Here is a 23,541-nt window from a genome sequence, read left to right on the forward strand (position 1 = left end):
AAGAAGAAAATTAAGAGACTCAATTTGACTTTGATTTTGAACCACAGGACTCATGGCTCAGTGCTCTTAAAACTCTTAAAAACACAGTAAAAGCGCAGGTCCTGAGCAGAGCCAGGACTCATGCAGGAGCGAAAGCGGGCCTATTAAGGCCTGAGGCTAGGACGTCGTGAGGAAGACCCGGGATCCCGGCCCTGCGGCCCCTGCGGGCTGCTGCTGGTGGGTACCAGCTTTCGTTGTTAGGCCCAAGTCTGGCCAGGGCTCTCGGGGAGTGCCACCTGTGTTTTCTGCCCTCTGTTACTTCCCGCAAGAACCGAAATGCGCACCTGTATGCCCAAGTTGGACTTAAATCAGCTTTTTCTTAAGGTTTCTCCTGGAGTCCTTGAAATGCATGGGCCCGGGGAACATCCCGGCCTATTGCTTGTTTTAACTCCCGGAAACAAACCCACCAAAAATCAAAGCCAAGTATGAGACATGAAGTGGGGGCGACTGTAGCTCCAAGAGCGGCCCTGTCACCGAACCCCTGGGTGTTTAGCAGTGTGAAGTTTCGGGTGTTGAGTTCACGGCTCAGGTGGCGTGCAGCAAGGGAGTTCTCATCAGTAACCCCCCTTGCCGCCAACCCCCAGTCCCCAGAAGGGCAGGCACCCCTTCGCGCCTCCTTTTTGACTCCCGCTTTCGGCAAAGAGTTTACCTCTCTTTCTTTTCCTGCCTTGGGAAAACTGGGCGAGGGCCCGAAGCCTCTGGGGTACCCTCAGATCCATCCTCTGCCCTGCTAGGAGTCCAGCCCCAGGCGGAGGAGTTTTGCCCCAGGTTTCTGAGTGCGCCCTCAGCTAACAGGCTCCCGCGACCCTGGAAGCGGAACTTTGTTGCACTCCGCTTCCAGAGGACGCTGAAATACGGTGCCAAACCCAGCCAAGCAAAAACGCAGAATCCGCGAGCTCTTTACCTCTGTGCGCTCAGCGCTGACTAGTAGCTGTCCCCGGGCCATGGAGAGGGCTAAGCTGCCTCCTTGGGAGGTGGGAGAGACGTTTCTTTTCCTTCTGCAATCTCATCTTAGGGCCATCTCTCACCAAGCCTAGCCTGCAGCTCGGGAACCCGCGATACCCGGCCGGGGGACGACAGGGGGCGACAAACTGTAAGGTTTTCCCTATGCCCGACCGTGCAGAAGGCTGCAGCGAGGGCTGTGTGCTCCCGATCGCGCACAGCTGGCTGCGGGAAAGGGGCCAGGATTGAGACGAAGGCTCGCGGACTCTGCTACCGGGGAGAACCACCCCCTCTCATCGTGCGCAATCCCCAGACTCACCCCTCTACAGTAGCCCCCAGCCACGGGCGGCCTTCACGGGGACGGGGGCGGAGTTTTGTCCTGGACTGCGACTCCTTGCCACTTTTCCAAGCTCGGCAGCAGAGGTGGGGTGGACGTTCCCCTGAAAGGGTAGTTGGGCGAACCAGCTCTCACGGTGTCACGACCGGCTTTATTTCCTCGTCTTTAGAGTGTGCCTGTTGACTCCTCACCTACTGGGGGGAAGAAGCGGCTTTAGCTGCTTTTCCGGATCACGAGTATCCACTGGACTGAGGCAGGGATGTGGCGTTCCTTTATCTCAGAGACTCCAAGGTCTGGAAATCAACCTTTCTTGGTATCTCGCGCCCGACGAAGCTAGCAGATTCCGCAATGGAGAGCACTGGGCAGGGTGCGTCCCCACTCCCCGCACCCCCGGAGCCCCGAGCATACTGTGCGTGCTTAGTCCTCTCTTCGCTGCCTTCGCGGAACTCCTGGCTTAGGCGTGCCCACTTTAATCCAAACCATTCCCTTTCCCTGTTCCTTACTCCAAACCTACGCTGTCATGGACAGGCCTAATCTTCTACATAGCTTCCCCTGCTCCCACTCTCGCACCCTCCTGCCAGTGCACTGACCCTCAAACCTCCTCCAGGTCTCCAGGACCTCCCAGAGCCAGAGACTGTACTGTGTTCATGCCGCCGGAGAGGAAGAGTTCACTTCTTTTAAACCTGATTTTTCTTTTTCCAGGAGTAATTCTTGTCTGTGGCCCCACCGCGTGCTCTCTCTAGAGAGTCCAGGAATTATGAGCCAGTCACTCCTGACAGATACATTTAGACAGGTGGATTAGGAGCCAGGGATGCTCTCTGGCCCTACAGCGGAGGCAAAGGGGTCGGGGCCTCCGCAGCCATGGCTCCCCAGGGTGGGCTGATAGGGTCCATGTGCTCCTCAGCCACTGTCACCGCGCTGGCGCCATACTCAACTCTGGGTGGCTAAGGAGAGCTAGACCCTTGGGGTGGGCAGGAGGGAGGGGAAGAGGGTTCTCTCCTCCAGGGGAGCGCTGGGAGTCTCAGAAACCTCGGCTGTTCCTACTCTCTCCCCTATGCCCTCTTCCTGGTCTAGCACATTCAGCCCAATGCCTTTGGTGCTTACTGGGCTCAACCTCAGAGCTCTCAGATCCTGACCCCCTCAAATCAGTTCATGTTCAAAACCACGAGTTTCCTCCTCTTGGCCCTCACCGCATGGCTCCCGGACACAGTTAGCTGCACAGGTTGGGGAGTTCAGAACTGCTTTGGTGCAGGGTAGAAACAGAGAAATTGTTGATGTTCAATCTCAGGGGTGAATAATTCAGGGCTGCGCAAAACCTCATTTAAATGAAGGAGAAATGACCATTCTGTGGTTTAACAGAGACTTCCTGAAGCTGCAGGTGCTGGGAGAAAGACGAGGCCAGGCCACCTGGGATAGAGTGGTGCGAGATTCCACCGCCAGGGAGAAAGGAACTTGTCCTTCAGACCTAGAGCTGGAGCTATGCATTTGGCCTCCCGCCGGTCGCGCTTGGGGACAGGAGGGCGCCGGATCTATGCGCCCCTTAGCAGCAGATCGGGATCCTTTTGCCTCCTGCCCCTTCTGTCACTGCTTGGAGAGGGATGAGTTCTGGTGGCTGGGCCTGGCTGTAGGAGACAGGATTTGGACCGTGCCCCTCTCGCATCACCGAAATCACCCCCACTATTCCAAGAGTGGTTGGCTATTAAACGTGAAGATTTCCTGAGAGAAGGATTGAGGACCTGGCCAGGAATGGGACACAAGTTCCGCCTTGTGTCTTCCTGACAGGAGCCCTGCACCGCGCTGGACGCTCACCTTGACACTCCCAGCCAGCTGGGGTACTGATCCCACCCTTCCCCGGCCGCTGCCCCGGGAGTGGGGAGGTAGAGAGAGCCACACCCGAAACACCTTTCCACGATAAACTTTTATTCTCTATCTTATTATTAATGGTGGCGGAAATAAAACTAAAACCAAAACGAAAACGAGTACTAGTACTAACACACTAATCAATTTGAGATGACTTCCCCCTCATTCCCAAAGCTAGAGGAGGAAGGGGGCTGAAAGGGGCTCAGAGCAGTGGAAGGTCCCAGGCCCAGCTGGGGTTGGGACGTGTGTGTGTGTGTGTGTGTGTGTGTGTGTGTGTGTGTGTGTGTAGAGGGGTGGGTTCCGGGGGGGTGGTGGAAGAGGGCCGAGGGGGGAGGATAGAAGGAGGGGGTAGAGTTTCAGGGCGGGGAGGGGGGCGCTGGGGCGCAGTGACGGGAACCAATGAGCTGCCAACTCGCGCGTCTCCGGCGTGACTGCCGAGATTGACGTGGAGGACACGTCAAATTGATTCCCGCACGCTGCAGCCTCCCGGTCAGACGAATTTCTCCCAATCGGATGAAGTTCACCCTGGGCCTGGGGTCGCGGGCGTGGAGAGTGTCCTGGGAGGGGGCAGCAGCGGCGGCGGCAGGCCCTGGAGCGGGCGGCAGCGCGCTCCGCTGCCGCGCACAGCGCGTCTCCAGCCCGCGGCTGGGCCGCCGCGGCTCTCGGCTCTCGGGCGCCCTCCCTCTATGCCTCTCACGCGGCGGCGGCGGCGCCCAAGCTCTCCCGGACTGCGCCGGGCCCAGCCCCGGCCACCCCGGCCACCCCGGCGCCAGGCAGCTGGCCGGCCCGCTCGCTATGGGTAAGGGGCGGGCGACAGGCAGGGCTCGGGAGGGCTGATGAGGTGGGTCGGGTCCGCCTGCCTCCCTTCCCTCTCGTCCGCTTTCCCTGGGCGACCCAGTCCTGGGTCCTGGAGAAGCTGCATTCTCCTCTGATCCCCAGCCTTCAGGGGGCAGTTGAGCAAGTCTGGGAAGGGAGTGTTCCAAGTAGACGCGCTAAAAGTCGCGAAAGGGCACGGAGGGCTACAATGCGCCGCGCTCCACTCCGCGGCTCCTCTGCGCCCTTGCCCACTCCAAGCCAGACCCAGGCGGTTTGCCCTTGGACTCCGAGCTGTCTGGGGACCCACAGGTCACCTTTGGAAGTGCGCCTGGGTGCAGTCCCTCGCTCCGCGTGGGGACCCTTGGCTAACCCGCCGGGTGTTTTCTCCCCCTCCGGCTCACTCTTGTCTGGCGCATCCGCAGAGCAGACGTATGGCGAGGTGAACCAGCTGGGCGGTGTGTTCGTCAACGGCCGCCCCCTGCCCAACGCCATCCGCTTGCGCATTGTGGAGCTGGCGCAGCTGGGCATCCGACCCTGTGACATCAGTCGGCAGCTCCGCGTATCCCACGGCTGCGTGAGCAAGATCCTGGCGCGCTACAACGAGACCGGCTCCATTCTGCCCGGGGCCATCGGGGGGAGCAAGCCCCGCGTCACCACTCCCAACGTGGTCAAGCACATCCGGGACTACAAGCAAGGAGACCCTGGCATCTTTGCCTGGGAGATCCGCGACCGGCTGCTGGCCGACGGCGTCTGTGACAAGTACAATGTGCCTTCGGTGAGCTCCATCAGCCGCATCCTGCGCAACAAGATCGGCAGCCTGGCGCAGCCCGGACCGTACGAGGCAAGTAAGCAGCCGCCGTCGCAGCCTACGCTGCCCTACAACCACATCTACCAGTACCCCTACCCCAGTCCCGTGTCGCCCACGGGCGCCAAGATGGGCAGCCACCCCGGGGTCCCGGGCACGGCGGGCCACGTCAGCATCCCGCGCTCATGGCCCTCGGCACACTCGGTCAGCAACATCCTGGGCATCCGGACGTTTATGGAGCAAACAGGTCAGTTGTGGCGGCCTCCGTAGCCTTCTATTAAGGGGCAGAACCTGGGGCGGGCAGGCTTGCAGGAGAGGACTCACACTCGCTCTCCTCCCGGGACCGGTTCTGGCTCAGGGGAGGGCTCCACACTGGCCAGGGAGGCTGGGGGTCCTGGGCCTTTTGTAAGAGACCTCGGACATCTTGAACTTTTTATGACAAATATGGAAAATATTTCCCAAATAGAAGAGCAATCGCCGACCACAAATTTGGAGGCCTGAAATTGTGCTTTTTCATTCTTGCAAAAAGTATGCAAGCCCCTGTTGCCAAATCTAAGGGGGAAAAAAACCCGCTCAATTTTGAGACCCTTTCTTTAGCTCTCAGAATCCTTCACGATTTCCCAAGGGTTCTGTCCCCCACTCCCAGGCCCAGTGGCTCTTCTGAGTTAAAGGAAAAGGGATCTTGTGGTCGATTGAGTGGCCTACATCTCTAAGGTCCTGTGGCCTTGCAGGTCCTGGAGTTTGCGGTGATGGCTGGTGGGGCTGCAGCCACCTTCACAAGGATTTGTCATTTATCTGCAACTAAAGCTTAACACACTATAGGTCAAGTGGGTGACGAGGAAGATGGGGAAGGCGGGAGGTTTGGAACAACTTTGATGCCTGGCTGGGAAAGAAACCAGCCAGAATCGGGTCTGGATTTCTTTGCGCTCTCCCCAGCTGCCAGCAGCTGGCCAGGGGATGGCACACTCTTAGGTGATCAGACTCAGGAGGAGGGCAAGAAGCAAAATTCACCATAGCCTAGGAGGAAAGAGTGGTGGCTGGAAAGAAACTGTGAGTGCTCAGCTCCAGCAGCAGCAGCGCCTCTGTGGCCCTGCTCTGGCTTTGTGTCTCCTGGTGGCTCTAACCCAGCCTAAGGCTAAAGCTTCCCATGGAATGGCAGGGGTCTGGAGGTGACCCCACCAAGCCTGCACGCAGATCTGGAGGTTTCCCTTGGTTCCTGGCACACACAAGGGCCCGGGGAGCAGCTGTGTGCTTCTATCTGACCCGTGGGGACAACAATGTTGACGCTTCTTTTGGGAAACCCTGGGCGTTTCCAGAGGCAGTTCTCGTAGAATCGTCTCCCTGCCCTCCAGAGGCTTGTGCAGATGTTGAGAAATCAATACAATTTTCATGAGGTTGCTGTAGCTTTGAACTCGGAAGTTTCTGGGAGCCGTGTCTGGACAATGGAGCGGCCGCTTTGGCCGAGTCTGCCCAGGCTTTGACTCAGCAGCAGCCTCCCGTTCGTGGGAAACCGGTTGAAGGCTAGGAGGACCGGGCAGCAGGCCTGGCTGCCTTTCCTCCGCCCCACCCGGAGTGGTGAACATTCCAGTCCCTGCCGCCTCCTGGTGGAGTGTCAGGCCACCTACAAATTTTGTGGGACCCCTGGCCGTGTCTTCAGATACAAATTGGGTGGTTGGCCACACGTGTGCCCAGGGCAGATTCGGAGGCACCTTTTAATCCGTCCTCTCTCTCCTGCAGGGGCCCTGGCTGGGAGCGAAGGCACCGCTTACTCTCCCAAGATGGAAGACTGGGCCGGCGTGAACCGCACGGCCTTCCCCGCCACCCCCGCAGTGAATGGGCTAGAGAAACCTGCCTTAGAGGCAGACATTAAATACACTCAGGTAACCAGGAGGCACGTGAGGCCGTGACCTTAAGTAGGGAAGCAGAAGGTTTGGGCAAGTGGGGAAAAAGAGAGAGAAAGAAAAGAAAAAATTTCCAGGCAGAGAGATGGTTGTATCTGGCAGCCGGCTAGCAAGCGTCCTTTCTGTCCTTTCCTCAAGCGTACTAGTTTGGGAGAGTCTGACTTTAGAGGGGTTGACTTGCCTTTGCCAAGATAGCTTAGCTAAAAAAAGCTGGAACTCCAGATGACGAATCCACAGTCAAGGGCCTTCTTTCTCTAAATCCCGATATGAATACCATGACCCCTTCACATCGTTATTTGTAACAGTTTGAGTGAATTCTTAGAAATCACTTTGCCAAAGAGTCCTGACTAGGAAATTTAGAGGCCAGGCCTCGCATGGGGATAATGGATGGGCACAGGACGTGGGGGAGCGATAATGGACGAAAACCCCCGTCTCAGTGATGGCGTGGGCTAGAGAAGGCAGGATTTTCTGCTGCTGACGGTCCCTCTCTATCCCCACAGTCGGCCTCCACCCTCTCTGCCGTGGGCGGCTTTCTCCCCGCCTGCGCCTACCCGGCCTCCAACCAGCACGGCGTGTACAGCGCCCCGGGCGGCGGCTACCTCGCCCCGGGCCCGCCGTGGCCGCCTGCGCAAGGTCCTCCTCTGGCGCCCCCCGGGGCCGGCGTAGCTGTGCATGGCGGGGAACTCGCGGCAGCAATGACCTTCAAGCATCCCAGCCGAGAAGGTGAGGAGCGCAGGGAGTGGGGCGGGTGGATGCTGGAAGGGTTAGGAAGGGTACTGGGGAGCGGGTGTGAGCCTGGGAAAAGGGAGAGCGGGTGGGGAAGAGGTGGGTCCTGGGCATGAACCCTTCTTCTGGGTTAACCTTTGAGCATGTAGCTTCTTGGAGCAGATTAGTTCTGACAGGTGTCCCTATAAAGGTACCCGAGGTTGAGAGAGACTGGCCCCAAGACTGTCCCCTCCACTTATGATGGGAGAGGTGAAAGGAGGTCCTTCTGGCACACAGGACGCGTGGGTTTGGATCCGGTTCTGGCACCTTCGACCAAGTTCCTGCTTCTTTCTGGGTTTCTGTTTCTCCATCCAGAGACACGTCTAGCAGGCACCCTCCAGGCTCACCTTTCTGTAGACCTGTTCTGGCACCTAAGCCCTTTAGGTGGGGTTGGACTTGCTAGTGGCACCTAACCTCCATCCCCAGACCCTTCCCGTCTCTGCCCCACTGCCCATCTGTTTTTTCCAGGTTCCTTAGAGAGAAAAAAAGGCGTTTGGATTCTTTTTCTTAAATACACACTGTGGGAAAGTAGAGGCCATGTGAATCAGTGTCCTTTACTCCAGGCTCAGGAGCTTTCTGTGGTTGTGGGTGGTGGTGGTGGTGGGCGGGTGGGGGGGTTCTCTCTTTCTGTGGAAAATGTGCCTGGGAGTCTTGCCTCCTTTTCCGCTTCCTCCTTCTCTTCCTTTTCCATAAGTCCACTTCCTGAAAAGTCGAGGAACAGATTTTAGGTATTTCACTGACAGTCAGCAGTGTGAGGGGGATCTTCTCACACAACCAGGAGGGTTCCAGTTTTTCCTTTAACTTGGGAAAAGCTCACCAGCCCTTGAGTCCTCATTTTCTTTGTTGTTAAAAGGAATGGCTTGATTTGCTAAGTTCAAACTTGCCAGTGCTTAGGTTCTGAGCACCAGAAATTTGCAACTTCAACCAACCTGGGAAAGGAAAGGGTCACCCCAGGTCGTCCCAGCCCCAGCAGAGAAAGAGACAAGGCACAAACCTGGGGGACAGCGTGGAGTTCCCAGATTATAAAAGGATTTTTACTAGCTGCTTTGCCTCCACCTGTCCAGGGCTGGAAGCGAGGTGGATGTAGTGGCAGGTGGCAGTGGGCAGGCAGGGGACAGGAGGGCCATCCTCCTTGGTGCTGCCCAGGCAAAAAGTGCTATTTCCAAGTAGTCTTGATAAGATAGGAGGGCATGCCCTGGGGAGTGGGGGTGGGGTGGGGGGCAGGAAGGAAATAAAGATGCCATCCACAACAGTGAAATGAAGGGAGAAAAATACTTTTTCTATTTCTACCTTTCCTAGAGCACAGACATCCTGGGATATTAGGATAATGTTCACTTGCCTAGTTACAGACAAATCCAAATAAGGAAAATTTATAAAAATTGGGATTTAGAGCTCTTTTAAACTTTAAGTTTAATTTAAATAGGATACTATCATTTACTCATTTATAGAAAAATCCAAGTGAAGGAAATGTTAAAAGTTGAGAGTAAGAACTCCTTTAAGCTTTATGTTTAAGGATAGTTAAGGGGTCGCAGATGAGCGCTTCACTCATCCTCAGCCTCCAATCAACCTGTTTTCTCAACAACTGAGGTTATCTGTCGAAATCGAAATCAAAATAAAATTTACCACATTACACAAATCACTTAAATAAGCAGGTTCTTTTGAATTAAAAATGTATAACCACAGATTTGAAATATTTCACTGGGTTCATCTTAAGGAGAAGGAAGACTTAGAAAAAAGACCCACAGTCTTCAGAGGAATGCATTTGTTTTCAATAGAGCCACTTTGCCCTGGAGGCATTTTAAGCTCTACATTAGACACAAATTATAAAGTGCAGATAATAAGCCAAAGGTAACACACACAGTTCCTAATTCTAAACTACCTGTCTTAATTTGTGGTGGAAGTTGCGGGGAAGCTGATTTTAACATTAAGCCTCACTGGTGATTGATTTTCTTTAGAAGACACTTTCCTTTTCAGAAATACAGGGTCATTGAATGGTGCTGGCATAAGTCCCTTTTACCATTATATCAGTTTCCTATTATGTAATATCCCACCTGTTTTTAAAAGCTACAGCAATAATTTGTTACTCTAGTTATTAAATTAATAATTTAATTTTGTGGTCCTCCAACTTCTTTAAAGGTTCTAATAAAAGATAATCAGATAACTTGGGGACACCATTAGCAATGATTTCTCAAGCTGGCATGCAACTGTTTGTGTTCGAACAGGAATGTAGAAATAATCATTCATTATCTATCTATATTCATAGCCTGAGAATTACATACATGCTTGGGTTATGGATTTTTACTCCTTACTGGTAGAACAGCTGACTTCAAAGATCTATTCCCTCAACACAACTGGTCTTTGGAAAGACAGAAAAATAATAAGAATCACTGCCTTTTATTTTCTGATCAGTTCTTAAGAAATTAATATCTTCAAAGAAACCTGTCCCAGAGGACAATTTACTATCAGCAATTGTTCAATTCATAAGAATAGTGAGAATAGTATTTAGTGAACTCCTTTTCAGTAAGAAAAAATTCTTCTGTGTAATGAAAAGCAATTTAATACAATAAATGCTCAGTAAAAGCAAATACCTTTGATCACCTAACACATACACACCACACACGCACAGTGCAATATATATCAATATGTCCTCCAAATTAGTGCAAATGAACAGCTTAACAGTTACCCTAAGTGAAACTTAATCAAATGTCAAATCGAAAATTTAGCATTTAATTAGATATTAATTGATTAATTGTGTTATTTAATACTATAATTCATTTTTTTCTTATTTTTTAAAAAGGTAGTGAGTCTGGGTTTCCTATTATGTAGGTAAAAAGCATGATTTACATTTCCCATCCCCTGAAAGGAAACTTTAATTTTTGGGAATTGAGAAGAATAGAAAAAGTTTCGCTTAATCTTCACTTGGAGAGGCTGACATTCTAGGAATCTCCACCCACATCCAAATGTCTTTTCATAGCCAGGGCACGACCATCTCCCCTTCCCCACCCTTAGGTGACAGACACCACCAGATGCTCCCTCAAGACAGCTGGTATTTACAGGATGTTTTCAGAGACCCTCGAAACCTCAGGGTTTTAAGTCCCTCCTCGTGGGGCTCTGGAATGACTAAAGATTTGGAAATCAAATCTATAAGATACTGCATACGCACAAAGAAAATGTATTGCTTTTATTTGTTAAAGATAACTTGCAGCTTCGCTCCAGTTACCTCTGCCTCGGGATTGGTTCTTGGAAGATCCTAAAAGTAAACTTTGTCAAAGAGCACTAGGTCGCTGGCATTGTCGCACCCGGACGCTGGCAACCCCGGCCTCCGTTTGACCCAGCCCCGGGGATCCCTTCCCAGACCCGTGCCTCCCCTCAGCGGTGGTCTCAGAGTGCCCTGCAATTGCAGTTGAATATTTAAAAAATGCCTCTCCCCATTCTTAGCCCCTGAATTAAATGAGCCTGACCTAGGCCCCGGCCTCCGAGGGCCCAGAAGTACCCACCCTTGTTGTCCTATGGAGGGAATGGAGGGCAGGAGGGGCCCTATGAGGAAGGATGGCTTGGACAGGGCTAAAAACACAGCAGGATTCGCCCCTGTAGGGTGGGATGCAGTCTTCCTGGGTGTTTATTTTTCATGAGTTCAGTTTCTTGCTTGTCTCTAAGGTAACCGTCCCTTGGCTGAGAAACCTCCACCTCCTCAGATGTTTTCTAAACAGGTCCTCACTTTGAAGTGTGTGTCCACGGTAGAAAGAAAAGGTCTGAATACTTGTTGGCTGGGCGGCCACAACTTTGTTTAGGAAAAAGAGCTGAGAGCCAGGGAAAAGCAGAGGGGCCGCTCTGTCCTGGGAAGGTCTTTAGACCTCTTTAAAACCTCAACGAAACCGTGTGTTTTCTTTTTTTTTTGTGTGTGTGTGTGTGTGTGTGTGTGTGTCTTGCACAGAGGTGGTTGGCCCAGCTCTGCGCAGCCACAGCAAGTTGCGCCTGAGGCTGAGGCGAGGGAAGCTGCAGGAGAAAAAAAAATCCAGAGTTCCCCTTACTTCAAATCGAGGCGCTCCAAGCTCCCCCTTTAAAGGAGGACTTGGGGAAAAAAGAAAATTGAAAATAGGCCCCTGTAGGTATAAACAAACTGTGGATCCTAGTGTAGGAGAAGCAGAGTGGCTCAAGGTTGGGAAAGGAAAAACAGGCTTGCGCAATCGTGGCGTCACTTTCTGGCTTCCGGTGGCAAAACTTGGGCCCCTTCCCAAGCCCCTAAATAATAGAGTAAGGCGCAGAATACTGCCCGATCTGGCAATCCCACTGTCACTTAATCCGGAGGCCCACAGGTCCCAGGACGTGCTGTGCCCACAGTGGTGAGCGCATCTGGATCCCCGGACCTCGTGGGCACAACGTAGTCTGCCGCTCACTTAAAGCGCAACTGCCTCCTACGTCGGAGGAATCCAGGCCGCTCCAGGGAAATCTCTGGTGGCTCATTTCCCGCAAGATTTCCCCCTGCCCACAGCGAGCTCCGAGCCGCGGGTGTCAGCGGACTCGACGCATTGGCTGCTCTTCGCACTTGTGCGGGCGCCTGGGGTTTGGAAAGGGTGAGGGTCCGCGCAACGTTAGAGTCCTGTTCCCTTCTGCGGAAGTCGCCATCAGACCTGAAACCTTCCCAGCCCTCTGCGCCCTTCACTTCCTTTACTGAGCAGGTGGTGAGGGGGTTGGACGGCAACGGGAATTGCACCTGGCCAGCGGTCAGTGTTTGCAAATGGCCTTGCGAGGAGTCCCGCTTGCCAAGGCTCTCCTTGCAAGTGGCTCTCCTAGCGGGAGAGGAAGGGCTGGTCGCCCACGGAAGCTTGGGGTCTCTGGAGAGCGCGAGTCTCTGCTTCACTCTTCCAGAGCCTTCAAGGGTTGAGCGCTCACGACCTCGCTCTGCAGGCGTCCTGAGTCCCAGTGCCTCTCGCACTGCGCGGCGCTAGGTAGTGATCCGACGCCTCTGTGCTTCCTCCCGCAGTGGCTGACAGGAAGCCTCCCAGCTCCGGCAGCAAGGCCCCGGACGCCCTCAGTAGCTTACACGGACTGCCCATCCCGGCCTCGACCTCCTAGGGGCAGCTCTCCCCGGACCCGAGCCCGGAGGGAACGGCAGGCGGACCCGGGCGCACAGGTCTGCGCGGCGGCCCCGGCAATCGGCACGGGCAGGATCGGAGGACTCGCGGAGGAGGAAGCCAGTGCCGGCCCGCGGGGTGCACGCCCAGCCAGCCCCCAGGCCCAGCCCTGCCTCTGGCCGGACCCACCACACTTCCTTTATTGGTCTGGGTTTTTAGGCTTCTCTGAACTTGGGTTTTAGACTGCCGTACCCTCCTCACAATCCTTGCTCTGACGTGGCCTCCTTCGCTCTGCCAGCTTCAAATTTCTTTTTTGTCACTCCCTTGTCCGTCTCCGTCTCGCCTCTCTCCCTGTTTCCTTCCCCCCTCTTTCTTTCTCACTCTCCCTCCCTTCCCTTTCTCTTTCCCTTCCTCCCTACCTTCCACCCCGGCTTTCCCCGACCTTCCAGGGCTCCCTCTGCCCTTCCACTCTCTTTTCCTTGCTCCGACCTCTGCTCCAGTCCCGCTTCTTCCCCCGTCTCCTCTTTCTAGTCCTCTATATGCTATCAGCCCTTTTTCCTGGTCCATCCCTGTCGTTCCTTCTCTCTCTGTCTCTGGTTCTACTGTCAAGGGCCCTAGTTCCCTTTGTTTTACTGCTTCCCCAACCCTCCCTCAGTCCCTGAGAGCCCTAGAGCCATCTCGGTGACAGTCCCTTCTCTGGCACCTGGGACTTTGTAGCCTTCACTCCTCTGAGCCCACCAGCCCTAATGGAGGGGGGCTCAAACCTAGGAAGTGGACAGAAAAGCCACAGCCTTTATTTTGTATTTTTTTTGTAATAACAAACCCTAAAAAACCCTCCATGAACTGTCCTCTCCCGTCGATCCCCGCAGCATATTGTCTGGAAATCTGTTTTCTTTCTCAGAGCCCAGTGGCCGCCGGGCTTCTCTTCCCTTCTGAGATGATGTCACCCCAAAGAAGACTGGGGTAGGAGTAGGGAGCACAGGGGTTGTTGGTGTTTTCAGTGCTTAGAAAACTGGGTTGTCCTGCAGGTGTCTCCTCCCACCCCTCCACTCGCAACACTTGCTAGGGAATCCGACCAGTGGTAAACACATCAGCACTTTTTGGTGTTCAGGGGTCAGCACATTTGTTAATTTAAACCACAGACTGCTTCCAGGTACAAAGGTTCATTTGGACTTCTGGTTTGCAAGGGATGAGGGTTAAAAAAAACAAAACAAAACAAACAACAACAACAACAAAAACAACCCAGAAAGTATCTTCTAGAGCCAGCCGCAAGAGCTGTGAGCTGCTTCCAAGTTAGGCGAGCTGGTGGTGGTACCCTGGACATAATGCAATTCTGTAGTCAGAGCAATATCCCTGGCGAGAGCCTGACATCGCCTGTTAAAGGTGGCTGCCTCTGAATAAAGGAAAGCGTCTGAAAGGTGTGTGGTGAGGTGAGCAAGTCTGTTTCTGAGCGCAGAGTGTTGAGTTCTTACTCCGTAGCTACCCTCTCCCCTGAGTTCCTAGGATGAACACTATCAAGGGAAATTATGCAGAAACCACCTTGAAATGCAGTTAATTCTGAAAAGAGTAAAATGGGCAAAAGGCAATGAGCCAGAATGGAGGATTTCTTCAGAACATTTCTAGTATTCTAAAAGCTAAAGAAGACAATCCCAGGCTACCAAGTAATCTAGGGGGTTTGCACTACAAAGGGGCTTCCGGCTAATTGTTTTTTTTTCCTGCCTCTGTTTGACCTTCTAAAACTGATGGAAGAGATTTTTGAATTGAAGTTGCTGTTTGTGAGTGGAGCTGCCTGCTTGGTGTGTGCACTGGTCCCACCTAGGGGACTAGTGGTAAACAGTTTTTGTTTCAACTCTTTTTGATAGTATCTGTTGAAGGTATCAATTATAAAAAAGTACTTACTTTTTTCCTAGAGAGACTCTTCTTCTCAGATTCAAAGTCTCTTGTCTTTTTTTTTTTTTTTTTTTAAAGTTTCACTTTGTAGACAGTGTTAGTGATGGCTAGGGATTTGATTTATTTTCTTTAGACCACATAGCAAGGTATGAATTAGAGGGCTTGTGCTTGGAAACTGGGTGACACTATCTCATCAGAGAGGCAGGATTGAGACTTGGACTTTGAGACTGAAGTCCTCAGCCTTCCATGGCAGCATATCCTGTAGAAGAGCTTGTCATACTGATAATAGGAAAAAAGTATGACAGAGAAGCATGTTCCCAAGTCCCCCATCCTCTCAGCCTGTCTCCTTGTGCTTAGATGAGCATTGCATGCTCAGTGGTGACATCCTGGACAGAATTTTCATGCACCCATTTGTGCTGCCTGGAGAAGGACTGGCTTGCTCAGGCCAGGAGGAAGACATCACATCCCTTTCTGAAGGAATGAGAAGAATCTATATGACAACTTCTACCTTTGAGTTGTCACCATCCCCATTTCCCTGCTATGGCCCACTTCTGTGTTTGAGCTGATCAGGGTTATGGGGGAGAAGAGCTGGGAAATGCGCCCCAGGGTGGATGCAAAGCACCTGTGTTTTAAGTGCCACCTGCAAAGGGAGGCATTTTTCAAATCTGCCTCTTGTTCCCTGTATCCTGTGGCTGGAGGCGGGTCTTTGAGTTCCCTGGCTCTGGGGCGAGCATTCACTGAGGATAGGCAGCCTTCGTCCCAGAGCCAGCAGGCTCTGACATTTCATGTGGGGTGTGGAGGGACATACCCCCTCTCTCGCGGCTGGGGGTCACGGAACATCTTAGTGAACTTGGCTTAAATCTCTGCTCCACTGTATGTGTCAGGGGACTGGGACCTCTTGGAACCTGTCTGTGAAATGTAGCCTTCAATGCAGTAACGCGCACGGTGACCTGGCCTGTAGGAAGACTGCCACTGGTGTGGCCTCACCTCTCTGGAGACAATTTTGCTTATCTGTTAACAAAAGTTAGAGGAATCACTTGTAAGGTTGGTGGGAGACCCAGAATTTAAATATTTTCCAAAAGATCCCATTGGAATATTGCACTTTTGCTCTTTGTTCGTATGGATCTGTGGAGGAACTGAGAGCTCATAATAAAATTATGCAGCACCACGTCAGGTAGAATAATTTGAGAAACAATCACTCCCTAAACGCAGTTTGTCTTTGCCTTTCATTTTTTTAATTTAAGAATAAGTTTTTTTTAGAAAAATATAGAGATGTAACCCAAAGAAAATAAAGACATAATCAGATAGCCCTCTGATTTTTTGAAAGAATAGAAATAATATATGCGTATCACTAAAAAACTCAAGCAGTACAGAAACATTAAAATGAAAAGTGGAAGTTCTTCCTGCTCTCATTTTTGTTCTTAAAGGTGAATGCTGTTATAGTCTTTTGTGAATCTTTCCAGGAAAAACATGCATGCGGGAAAATATGTTTCTGTCTATGTGTTATTTGAAAGTGCACACTAATGAGTTGTGCTGTGCACACACAGACATGAGCTGAAGATCTGCTCTTTGCGTACCACCAGCTTCAGCTCCAATGTACCCACTTTATTCTCGTGAATGGATGTCTATTACCGAGGATTTATTAAAAACAGGGTATTTGTAAAGAGGGCCAGCTTCGTGCTTTAAATGAATAAAGACAGGATTTTGTTGTGTTCATTATTGGAGGAAGTACTTGCAATGGATTGTAATAACTTCCCTGCCAAAGGTAGCTGTTTTTTGGCAAGAAGTAAGGAAAACAAACCAAAGGAAAGGAGGATTGAGGGGCAAGAGGCATGAAGTTTTGCCCTTCTTGAATATGCCCCGAGTTGTTCTACAGATCACTGAAGGGCATTTGAAGGTGTGAGGGGAAGGCTTCCTCTCCTTTGGAGGGAGTCAGTCTCTCTGGGCCAGGAAAGAGACATGGAGGCAGAGGGGTGCGGGAAAACCTTGTGTGAAGAAATACTGGCTACAAATAAAGTTTAGATTTTCAATACTGGCACAAGCATTTTTTTAAACCTATCCCAAATTCAATTTACTAAAATCCACGTGGAATTAACCTCCTGACGAGTGAACCCCACTCACTGACAACAGTATTTCTGCCATTTGTGTGTTTCTGGTAAGAAGGATGGAATTTATTTAATTGAACTGTGGTTTCGGTAAAGCACACTGTAGATTTCCTGGCATCAGCTTCCCTAGCTAGGATTACATTGGCCTGGGTTTCTTTTCAAAAGAAACTCTACCTGCCCCATGTAATGCTGGATGATATGAATTTAGAATCTTGCTAGAATGTGCCTGAGGAACTCAGTTGAAAGGACTGTGCATCCAGACAGGCTATATAATAAGAAACATTTGAATCCCTTCTTTTAATGGGCAAGATTTATGCACAAAGTGGTATTTGGTTTTCACCTTGACCTTGCTGTCTGAACCATAGCCTTACTCACTGAAGAAATGTCCTATGGTTGAGATATTTCTAGCCAAACGTTTGTATCTCAACCTTAAATTTTTTTTTCGTTTTTTTTTTTTTTTTTTTTTTAACAGAACAAGGAAGAATCACACTGTCTTCTTTTTCAAGGCCATAAAATGAGAACCACACATTTAGCCCCAGTCCAACTTGGGAATTCTAAACACTTGGAACAATTATACTCAGTTTAGTCTAGTCCTTTCTTTGGAGTTGAAACCAGTTGAAACTCCTGCTGCACTCTAAAGAGCTCTTGTCCAGGAGATGCAGCCTGTGATTCTTGTTGGAACACACATCTGTTTCTGGCTGGCCAAATCCAAAAGTGGAATCCCAATTGCAGTTTTCATGGGTGGCAGAATTTCAACTTCATTATAATGTAACCACCTGGGTTGCCTTCACTTTTCTTTTTCTTCTTAAGGATGAAATAGGCAGATAAGTATTCATTCAGCTATTAAATTACATTTCCATCCTGTAACGTCTTATTTCCTTTTTCTCTGGTGAAATATATTGACTTGATGGATTATCTGCAGTGTCATTTCTTATATAGACCTCACAATTTTAACTTTCAGAGTTTCTTCCAGTCATTTGCGGATGTGGTTTTAGCTTTGTAAGATTTTATTTTACCCCAAACAACAAACAGCAAAACAAAAATTACTAGATGGTTTTGATTTAACAACAATCTCTTGGATGAAAAGTAAGCAAGATATTTAAATGAATGGAAAGAAATTGACTTCTTAAAAAATTGAATTGGAGCCTGAAACTTGTGAAACATAAAAAATAAAATGCTTCTCTGGCAAACAAGTTGTAATATGATTAGCTTGAACCGGGAAGCTGAAAGTATTATTCTGGCCACCAGGGGGAGCACATATTGTTCCAGGAGATGAAGACAAGCATGAAGATAAATAATACAATGTAAAAGATTTGTCGTTTTGTTAAAGTGGCGACTTTCCTGTTGTGAAGGTCTACTTAGAAGAGAAGGGCTCTTGCTGTTGTTGTTGTTATTATTATTATTGTTAGCCAGATGCTCGCACATGTGGTAAAAAATGGACTTTCTAGGCTCATCAACACATGACTTAGCAAACAAGTTAGCTTAGACATCAATAGCACCTTGAAAATAAGTTTCACTTCCAACTTTGACTCTAATATATACATAGATTGAAGTCTTTGAGTTTAAAATAAACATATGTGAATTTTAAAAGCAACTAGCCAGGCACAGTGGCTCACACCTGTAATCCCAGCACTTTGGGAGGTTGAGGAGGAAGGATTGCTTGAGCCCAGGAGTTTGAGACCATCCTGGGTGACCTAGCGAGACCCCATCGCTATCAAAAAAAAAAAAAAAAAAAAAAAAAAAATTAGCTGGATGTGGTGTGCATGCCCATAGTTCCAGCTACTTGGGAGGTTGAGGCAAGAGGATTCCTTGAGCCCAGGAGAGGGAGGCTGCAGTGAGCTGTGATTGCACCACTGCACTCCAGCCTGGGTGACAGAGTACGACTCTGTCTCAAAAACAAAAAACAAAAAACAAAAAACCAACCTAATCTAAACTGATATTTTTGGGAAATAAAATCAATTTCATTTATATTTGTGAAATTTTAATTTTTTTGGTTCATTTGAGTTTGTCTCTCATTTTAAGCAACTTATCTATATTTAGTGATCTTTTTGAAAGTTTTAATCATTTAAAGTGACAATACAATATTTCTCTGTAAGGACCAACGTATTACAGAGGCAACAAACAGCAAGGAAAATGATTATCTTCTCACTCTCTATTTATTTTAGGATAAAATCCAGAAAGATTACCATGGGTGAGGCAACGATAATTTATTTCTTAGATTTAAAAAAAGGAGCCTCTCTTACCATCTGTAATGTGGTCGTTTGCACATATTTAACTCAGAATACCAGCTGTGGAACATCTTTATGCAGGAAGCAGTTTAGGAAAGGATAGGGGATGTGTAGCTAAAAGTTGGCAGAGCTATCTGGTTCAAAGTCTCAGTTTTACCACTTACCAGTTGTGTTGCTTTGGGTAAATTTAGGCAAAACCTTTCAGCCTTAGTTTCCTCATCCGTTTAATGGAAATTATACCTCTCTCCCTGGGCTGCTGTGAGAACTAAATGTAATAATATACATAAAGAGTAGGGACTTGCTTTGGGTCACAGTCAGCTTTTATTAGTGTTATTATTGTTGCTGTTTTCTTCTTTTTCTTTGTACATCAACGTTTTATGGTGAATTAAATCGTGTTTTAACCTTGTAGACCACATTGGCTATTACATATATATATATAATATATATGTAATATATATATGTAATGTATATTATATATGTAATGTATATAATATATGTAATGTATATAATATATATGTAATACATATATATTATATATGTATATAATACATATATATGTATATATATGTATGTATATATATATGTATATATGTATATATATATGTATATAATACATATATATACATATATATTATATATGTAATACATATATAATATATATGTAATGTATATATATGTAATGTATATAATATATATGTAATACATATATAATATATATGTAATGTATATTATATATGTAATGTATATAATATGTATGTAATACATATATTATATATGTAATGTATATTATATATGTATTACATATATGTATTACATATATAACATATATGTATTACATATATGTATTACATATATAACATATATGTATTACATATATGTAATACACATATAATATATATGTTATATATATATATATATATAAAATTTTTTAAAAAATTGTTTCTTGAGATAGGGTCTCACTCTGTCACCCAGGCTGGAGTATAATGGTTTGATCATAGTTCACTGCAGCCTTGAACTTCTAGACTCAGGTGATCCTCCCACCTCAACCTCCTGAGTAGCTACAACTACAGCCATGCACCACCACACCTGGCTAATTTTTTAATTTTTAATTTTTTGTAGAGATGCAGTCTTGCTATGTTGCCCAGGCTGGTTTTGAACTCCTGGGCTCAAGCCATCCTCCCACCTTGACCTCAGCCTCCCAAAGTGTTAGGATTACAGGCATGAGCCACCGCACCTGGCCTTGGCTATATATTAGATTCATTGATGATCCAGAGCCCATCAAGACTGCTAACGCAAGTCTCTGAATTTACTGGAGCACTCGACAGCATCAGAGGGAAGAGCCACCATCACCTACTAATCATATCTGATGGCCCTGGGACATTCACCAAGACCTTAAGACTACTTGATGATTTCATGGCTAGACCTGTGAGGATTAACAGCCAGCAGGTTACTGCCATTACTGCATTGAAGCAGAGTTTGTGTAGCAAGTCCACTTAGATCAATTTTATGTGATCATGCTTTGTGTCATGTCTACAGATCCAGAACTGGTGTGCAGAGACCTCGTCCTGCTTGGAAAACGCATTCACCTCCAGGGGGCTGAAAAGCCTGTTGCATCTGCTGCTGACTTTAGTGCAATGATTATGGGCAGCCATGTTGGGCTTCAGTTTGTGTCTCTTTGATGAGTAAATGACTTTCGTTAAGGCAAAGCTACGTATTCTAGCTGCTACTGGAGACAACACAAGATAGCACAAAAGCCTTTAACTCATCATCTTCAGGAAGAGTTACATTTCAAATCTTCCCTCTTTGAAAGATCCTATCAGATTTTTATGGCCATTGAGAGAGGAAACGTCCTGTCCTTCTCAGATGTCATTTGAAATTCAAAATGTAGGTAAGAGCTTCATATATTGCTGAACTTTAACTAGAGGAAATCCTCAAATTCTCAAAGCCTTCCAAGGCACACACACCAAATTAGTGACAAAAGATGACTTAAAAGGTAGCAGTAGAATTTACTGTTACAGTAACATTCACAAGCATTCATCAGGCCTTCTTACTTAACAGTGCGTCTTAGTTTTAGAGTGTCCACGAGTTTGTTCCAGATGTCTACAGCCCTATTAGTCATCTGTGAAGGGTGCATGCTAATTCAATATGGCAGCTGGGTTCTGATTCCAAATTTTTGGAGTTTGTTCTCACAACCCGGATGCTTGCAAAAGTAAACAAAGACATTAAAAGATTTATGAAGAGACTCTGTCACACATTTTGAAGTGCAAAGTGTAAATGAATTTTTACAAGCATATGGATTTCATTTCTCTGATAATATGCATGAATTTAAAAATTAAAAGAAAATGTGCTGGCTACAATATGTTTTACGTTCTTGTTGAAACTTTGAAAATAATCAAAGGTGCCTAACATATTCAAAACCGCACAGACTCCTCTATCCTATGATGTCATTTGAACCATCAGATAGTGATTAATATTACCCCAAAAGGATGCTTTTCTGAAAGAAGCTCCAGAGAGGCACTTGCAATTTGAATTTCTATTTTTAAGCACATTCCACAGCTTATGGCCAGTCTCATTTCTTCCTGTATAAACTTCCAGGTTGCTATGCTCAGCACACTATCACTCTCTTAAATTTGGATAACACCATAGTCAAGTCTAACAGTTGAGGCTTCATGATAATATTTACATTGAGGCATAAGAGGACTGAGAGAGGAAAAAAGTGCAGGGAAAGCATGTTCAGCTCCTCGTGGTCACATGGAATGGATTCTGTCGAGAACGTAAAATAACATTTGTATCTGAGTGGTGCTTGGAATCAATTAAGATCTACCAGTTCAGTCAAGAATGCAGCCAACATTTTATTTTTAATTGTCTTGATAACATAGCCTTAGAGAATTATTCAGGTTACACTAGGCTCAGCATCAGAAGGAATTTTGGCTGCAAGAATTTCATTTTGTTTAGTTAAATAAAAACAAATTAGCATAGATTTTTTTTTTCTTGCAATTTCCATTTTTAGCTGTGATGTTACAATCGGTAATGGTGGTAAGTATTGGTCCGGTAAAACGTTTATTTTGAGAGTTTAATATAAATGAAAATAATAAATGGTCTAGTTCACTTCCATCTGTTTTTATCCATGTAGAGCTTTTAAACTTGTGATTCCCTTGGATAAAAATAAATTTCTCATACCCTCACATGTGTAAAGTATTCAAAAGAAGTATTATGGCTTACAAAAGAGAGAATAGTAGGAGAAAAAAGTTAAAGGCTTGAAAGAGCCATATTTTTTATGAAACTCTCTTGTATAGGTATAAATGTGGAGTCCCTTGTTTTCCCCAAACTTTTCTGGAAAGAAAGATGTGACATTGACGGCATCCAGTGCGAAGGCTACAGTTTTAAAAGTCAGAGTACAGGAAAGCCAGCTGCACAAATGGAGGCTGTCATCTTCTGATATTAAATTTGCTTTTATGAAGTATGTAGGCTTTCTCTACCTCCAATGATAAAGGCTAATATTTATTACACTCTTACTAGGTACCATGTATGTTTCAAAATATGAACACTTTCTAATTCAGTCCTTGCAGACTTCAGGGGAAGTACTGTTTCTATCCCTGCATCCCAGATGAAGAAATTGAGGTAACATAACCTGACTGAGGTTACCCACCTAATAATGGCAGGGCCAAAACTTGAACTTACACAGTTTGGCCTCAGAGCCCTGCTTAATCCCTGCAAAACCAGGAGATACTTGTAAGTCCTTCAGTGGCTCTTCTCTCCCTGCCCACAAGTGAAGAGTCTACCCTTGAGATCTTACTTGTTTCTGATGTCTGTATAATGTCACAATTGGAGAGTCTCTACATTTGCAATAGCCTCCAATGCAATGCAGAGTTATTTGTATATGACATTTGCAACATTACTGTATATATATCAGCCATCTATTGCTGTGTAACAAACCATACCAACATGTGGTAGCTTAAAGCAACAACAATTTATTATTTATCATGATTCTGTGTGTTGGCTGGGTGGTTCCTTAGCGGGTTTCCCCTGGGCTCACTCATGCAGCTTCCTTCAGCTGGAGGTTGGCTGGGCTGGAAGGCCCAAAGTGACCTCACTTACGTGGCTGGCCGTGGCTGCTGACTGTTGACTGGGGCTCTCAGCTCTGCTCTGCATGGCTTCTTTTCATCCAGGAAGCTAGACCAACTTTCTTACCTAGCAGTCCCAGGGCAGCAGTCTAAGAGGGTGACAGTGGAAGCCGCAAGGTCTCTTAAGAGCCAGCCTTGAAAGTTGGATAATATCACTTCTACAGCATTCTAATGGTCAAAGCAAATCACCAGGCCAACCCAGATTCAAGAGATGATAAAGTAGACTCTACCTCTTTATGGAAGAACAGCAAAGTCACATTACAAAGGGGCATGCATACCTGGATGGGAGAAACTTATGGCCAAGTTAGGCGATCTACCAGAGTAGACACCACTAAAAAGATAAATAATTGATATTAAAAGGGTTTTTCAATTTCTAAAATATTATAAAATATAGTTTTTGCAACATCATATTTACAATGTTATTTTTAATGGTTGGAAGTCACTTCTGCATCTTATTTCAGGGTTCTCATTAAAAGCACTGGCTATCACTGTGCTAAACAAACATTAGGTATGAAATTGGGGGATCCTCTGAATTCTTATCAAATGAGATATGAGTGAGAAAAACAAATAAATGTCTTTTGAAAACTTCAGTCCAGTTGTCTGCATCCTGAAGGGACTGTGGGAAGTATGAAAAGGTAAATATGTTTGATATTT

General features: G+C 47.5%; 1 protein-coding gene and 1 long non-coding RNA gene across 3 annotated transcripts in view, besides 2 other annotated features; one reads left to right on the plus strand and one right to left on the minus strand.

Moving 5' to 3' along the window:
* LINC01726 (long intergenic non-protein coding RNA 1726) overlaps positions 1–1,564 on the minus strand; it is a 92,799-nt gene extending 91,235 nt beyond the window's left edge. Inside the window, exon 1 of the long non-coding RNA NR_109878.1 lies at positions 1,301–1,564. This is a non-coding gene — a long non-coding RNA (long intergenic non-protein coding RNA 1726). The remainder of the gene's footprint in view (positions 1–1,300) is intronic.
* Positions 882–1,486: an enhancer, noted in NCBI's record as "H3K4me1 hESC enhancer chr20:21683541-21684145 (GRCh37/hg19 assembly coordinates)". NCBI's record gives its function as "activates a minimal SCP1, AML or CMV promoter by ChIP-STARR-seq in primed H9 embryonic stem cells {active_cell/tissue: H9 hESC(primed)}" and the evidence as "EXISTENCE:reporter gene assay evidence [ECO:0000049][PMID:30033119]".
* PAX1 (paired box 1) lies at positions 3,643–16,460 on the plus strand. Of its 2 annotated transcripts, none has more exons than NM_001257096.2 (5): positions 3,643–3,977; positions 4,417–5,046; positions 6,537–6,679; positions 7,201–7,423; positions 12,450–16,460. In NM_001257096.2, the coding sequence occupies exons 1-5, from the start codon at positions 3,692–3,694 to the stop codon at positions 12,539–12,541; spliced, it is 1,374 nt and encodes a 457-aa protein (NP_001244025.1). In that variant the 5' UTR covers positions 3,643–3,691; the 3' UTR covers positions 12,542–16,460. The 2 variants fall into 2 exon arrangements, with proteins under 2 accessions (NP_001244025.1, NP_006183.2); NM_006192.5 differs by having other exon boundaries at positions 12,460–16,460.
* Positions 10,820–11,319: an enhancer, noted in NCBI's record as "H3K4me1 hESC enhancer chr20:21693479-21693978 (GRCh37/hg19 assembly coordinates)". NCBI's record gives its function as "activates a minimal SCP1, AML or CMV promoter by ChIP-STARR-seq in naive H9 embryonic stem cells {active_cell/tissue: H9 hESC(naive)}" and the evidence as "EXISTENCE:reporter gene assay evidence [ECO:0000049][PMID:30033119]".

This window comes from Homo sapiens, chromosome 20, assembly GCF_000001405.40.
Source record: "Homo sapiens chromosome 20, GRCh38.p14 Primary Assembly".
In the NCBI taxonomy this organism is placed as follows: Eukaryota; Metazoa; Chordata; class Mammalia; order Primates; family Hominidae; genus Homo; species Homo sapiens.

Excerpts from the sequence above, each read along its gene's own strand:
- PAX1 (NM_006192.5), top strand. The coding sequence starts at position 3,692 with ATGAAGTTCACCCTGGGCCTGGGGTCGCGGGCGTGGAGAGTGTCCTGG. Across the intron at positions 3,978-4,416 it reads GGCCGGCCCGCTCGCTATGG|AGCAGACGTATGGCGAGGTG; the intron begins GTAAGGGGCGGG and ends GCGCATCCGCAG. Across the intron at positions 6,680-7,200 it reads CAGACATTAAATACACTCAG|TCGGCCTCCACCCTCTCTGC; the intron begins GTAACCAGGAGG and ends CTATCCCCACAG.